Raw genomic sequence first — 3,013 nt, forward strand, 5'->3', positions numbered from 1 at the left:
CTAATCTGATGGGGAGGTGGAGAACCTTTGTATCTAGCTCAGGGATTGTAAACGCACCAATCAGCGCCCTGACAAAACAGGCCACTAGGCTCTACCAATCAGCAGGATGTGGGTGGGGGCCAGATAAGAGAATAAAAGCAGGCTGCCAGAGCCAGCAGTGGCAACCCACTCCGGTCCTCTTCCACACTGTGGAAGCTTTGTTCTTTCGCTCTTTGCAATAAAATCTTGCTACTGCTCACTTTTTGGGTCCACGCTGCTTTTATGAGCTGTAACACTCACTACGAAGGTCTGCAGCTTCACTCCTGAGCCCAGCAAGACCACGAGCCCACCGGGAGGAAGGAACAACTCCAGACGCGCTACCTTAAGGGTTGTAACACTCATCGCAAAGGTCTGCAGCTTCACTCCTGAGCCAGCGAGACCACAAACCCACCAGAAGGAAGAAATTCCGAACACATCTGAACATCAGAAGGGACAGACTCCAGATGCGCCACCTTAAGAGCTGTAACACTCACCGCGAGGGTCCGCAGCTTCATTCTTGAAGTCAGTGAGACCAAGAACCCACCAGTTCAGACACACCACCACGTCTGGCTAATTTTTTGTATTTTTAGTAGAGACGGGGTTTCACTGTGTTAGCCAGGATGATCTTCATCTCCTGACCTTGTGATCTGCCCATCTCAGCCTCCCAAAGTACTGGGATTACAGGCGTGAGCCACCACGCCCGGCCACCATGTGTATAATTTTTAGTTTTCTAGTAAAAAGGGTAAAAAAGAAATAAGTGACATTAACTTCAATAATATATTTTACTTAACCTAATATGTTCAAAATATTATTGCTCCAACATGTAGTCAATTTTTTAGAATTATCAGTTTGTTGCACTCTTTTTATACTAAGTCTTTATTCACACTAAATTTTCATACTAAAATACAGTGACTATTTCACACTTACAGTATATCTCAATTTAGACTAGCCACATATCAAGTGTTCCAGTAGCCACATGTGACTAGTGGCTACCGTATTGGACAACATAAGCCTAACCTAACTCCAGTGATTCAGTCTCCTAGCAGAGGTCAGCATCAACTAACAGGATAAAATGAAAAGCAGCATAACTTCTTTAAGCTTATCAGAGCCCTACTGCTACCTCTTCTTGTATTCTCTATGACCCTTTTAAAAAAAGAATATCATTCTTCTGTATAACAACATTCTCCCTCCCTATTCCATTCTGGGACTTCACTCTGATTAAATCCTTTTGAAATTCACTTTAAAAAAATCCCTTTTCTGTTTACCTGGGCTCCCTGAGTATGCCTAGGGAAATTATCAGTAGGAATTTTCTTATTGCTTGTAAATTATGTTTAATTCCTAAATTTCCCTTTTTCTGCCTTGTCTGAAAGCATTCCAAACAGAAACTAGTCAAAGAAACTAATTTTTTTGTTTTTCCATCAGTTGGTGACCTCATAGGTAGAACCGAAAAGGTCATTGTGATTATAAACCCTCTCAAGAGGTTGTTCTAACTTTGTCAACATAAGGTTCATTCTCAATAATAATGTGTCTTAAAATGATGTTTCCTTGGATCCTTAAACAGAATAATGCATGACTTCAAGTTAGGAATTTCCAGTGATGAATATTTCAAGTGAGTAGGATTACAACAAACTTAGATGTCCACAGAAAGTTAAAGGGTGAGTGGACAAGATCTGGGGAGCACACTACTTTTTTCTGACTTTCCAGGAGAAACCATATTCCTGGGACTGCCAGCTTCACTGCAGACAGGTGTGAGGACTACAATGACCCCAGTAAGCTATTCAATGTGCAACAGGGCTGTACATCACATTTCTCTTGGCATTGACTTTTTTTGTGGACAAACAACAGAATGTAACCTAAGTAGCTCCTAAGCAAAAATACGAAGTCTACAAAATTAGATTCCATGCCACATGAATTCATTGTCCCACTTACACACCACTATCTAATATGTGTTACGGATAAGAGGTTGGATTCCAGCTGAAAGGCAGAAAGGCCATGACATCAAGAAAAGGAGAATTTGAGGGAAGACTTTCAAAAAATCAAGAGGCCAGACGTGTCTCAGAGAAAAAAACATTTCGGTGGCTAACGAAAGGGTGTGTGTGTTTAAAATAAAAAAGAAGAATGTCTCAGAACATATTTTTAATCATCATGGAACCTCCTAGCCTTACAAAACAGAGGGTAGATGCCAGAAAAGAGGGATGAATTGGTCTACCAGGGGCTACTGGAAGGACAGTATTGGATTGTGGATACCTGCGTTCTCCTCGCAGCTCTGTCTTTAGGGTATTGTAGGACTTGATCATAGAGCTAACTTTTGTTTGCACAGTTTAACTGATTTTTAAGTTCCGTTAATGCTCAACAATGGAAAATTTATTAATAGAAGCACAGAGATGTCTTAGAAAAGCTTATGAGAAAGAGGCGGGGCAACTGGCAGGAAAGAAACTAGATGTTGTTAACACCCATCCCACATATTTCCAACCACACCACCTCCTTTCAGAGAACAAATTTCCTCTGCCTCTGGCACTCAGCTAGATCTCACAAAGGTTAGAGCAAAAAAAAAAAAAAAAAATCCTGCTGCCCCCTCAGTTCACATCCAGCCACGCTTGCTATCACCAAGGACATCCTGGAAACATAAAGGTAATATAACAAGGACAGACTGGGAGGCAGAGCCAGACACGGAAGTCTATGCTAGTACAATAGCACTGTACATGTTACTACTGCCTCCTCCCGCACCCCCTTTCAGGTACTTCATGCCCAGCCCTGTCTGTCTGAGGGTTGCTATGATTATAAAAGCACCATAAATTGGACATAAAATATAAATGTGTTTTATTGTTGATAAAGTATCAACTGTCATAATCTTTAAATCTATAGTCTACACTGAATGCCATAATCACTAACAGGTCAGTATGACATCTATTTTTTTTATCAAAGTATTAGTTCCCAAAATAAGTTCACCCAGCTTTAATCCTTGGGAGAGAAACTGCCTCAATCTTTGGTATCC

At 41.0% G+C, this 3,013-nt stretch overlaps 1 annotated feature.

Moving 5' to 3' along the window:
- Window positions 2,441-2,735: a silencer, noted in NCBI's record as "tiled region #2267; K562 Repressive non-DNase unmatched - State 24:Quies". NCBI's record gives its function as "represses a minimal TATA promoter and a strong SV40 promoter by Sharpr-MPRA in K562 cells {active_cell/tissue: K562}" and the evidence as "EXISTENCE:reporter gene assay evidence [ECO:0000049][PMID:27701403]".

The sequence above is a fragment of the Homo sapiens genome, chromosome 5, assembly GCF_000001405.40.
Source record: "Homo sapiens chromosome 5, GRCh38.p14 Primary Assembly".
NCBI classification, from domain to species: domain Eukaryota; kingdom Metazoa; phylum Chordata; class Mammalia; order Primates; family Hominidae; genus Homo; species Homo sapiens.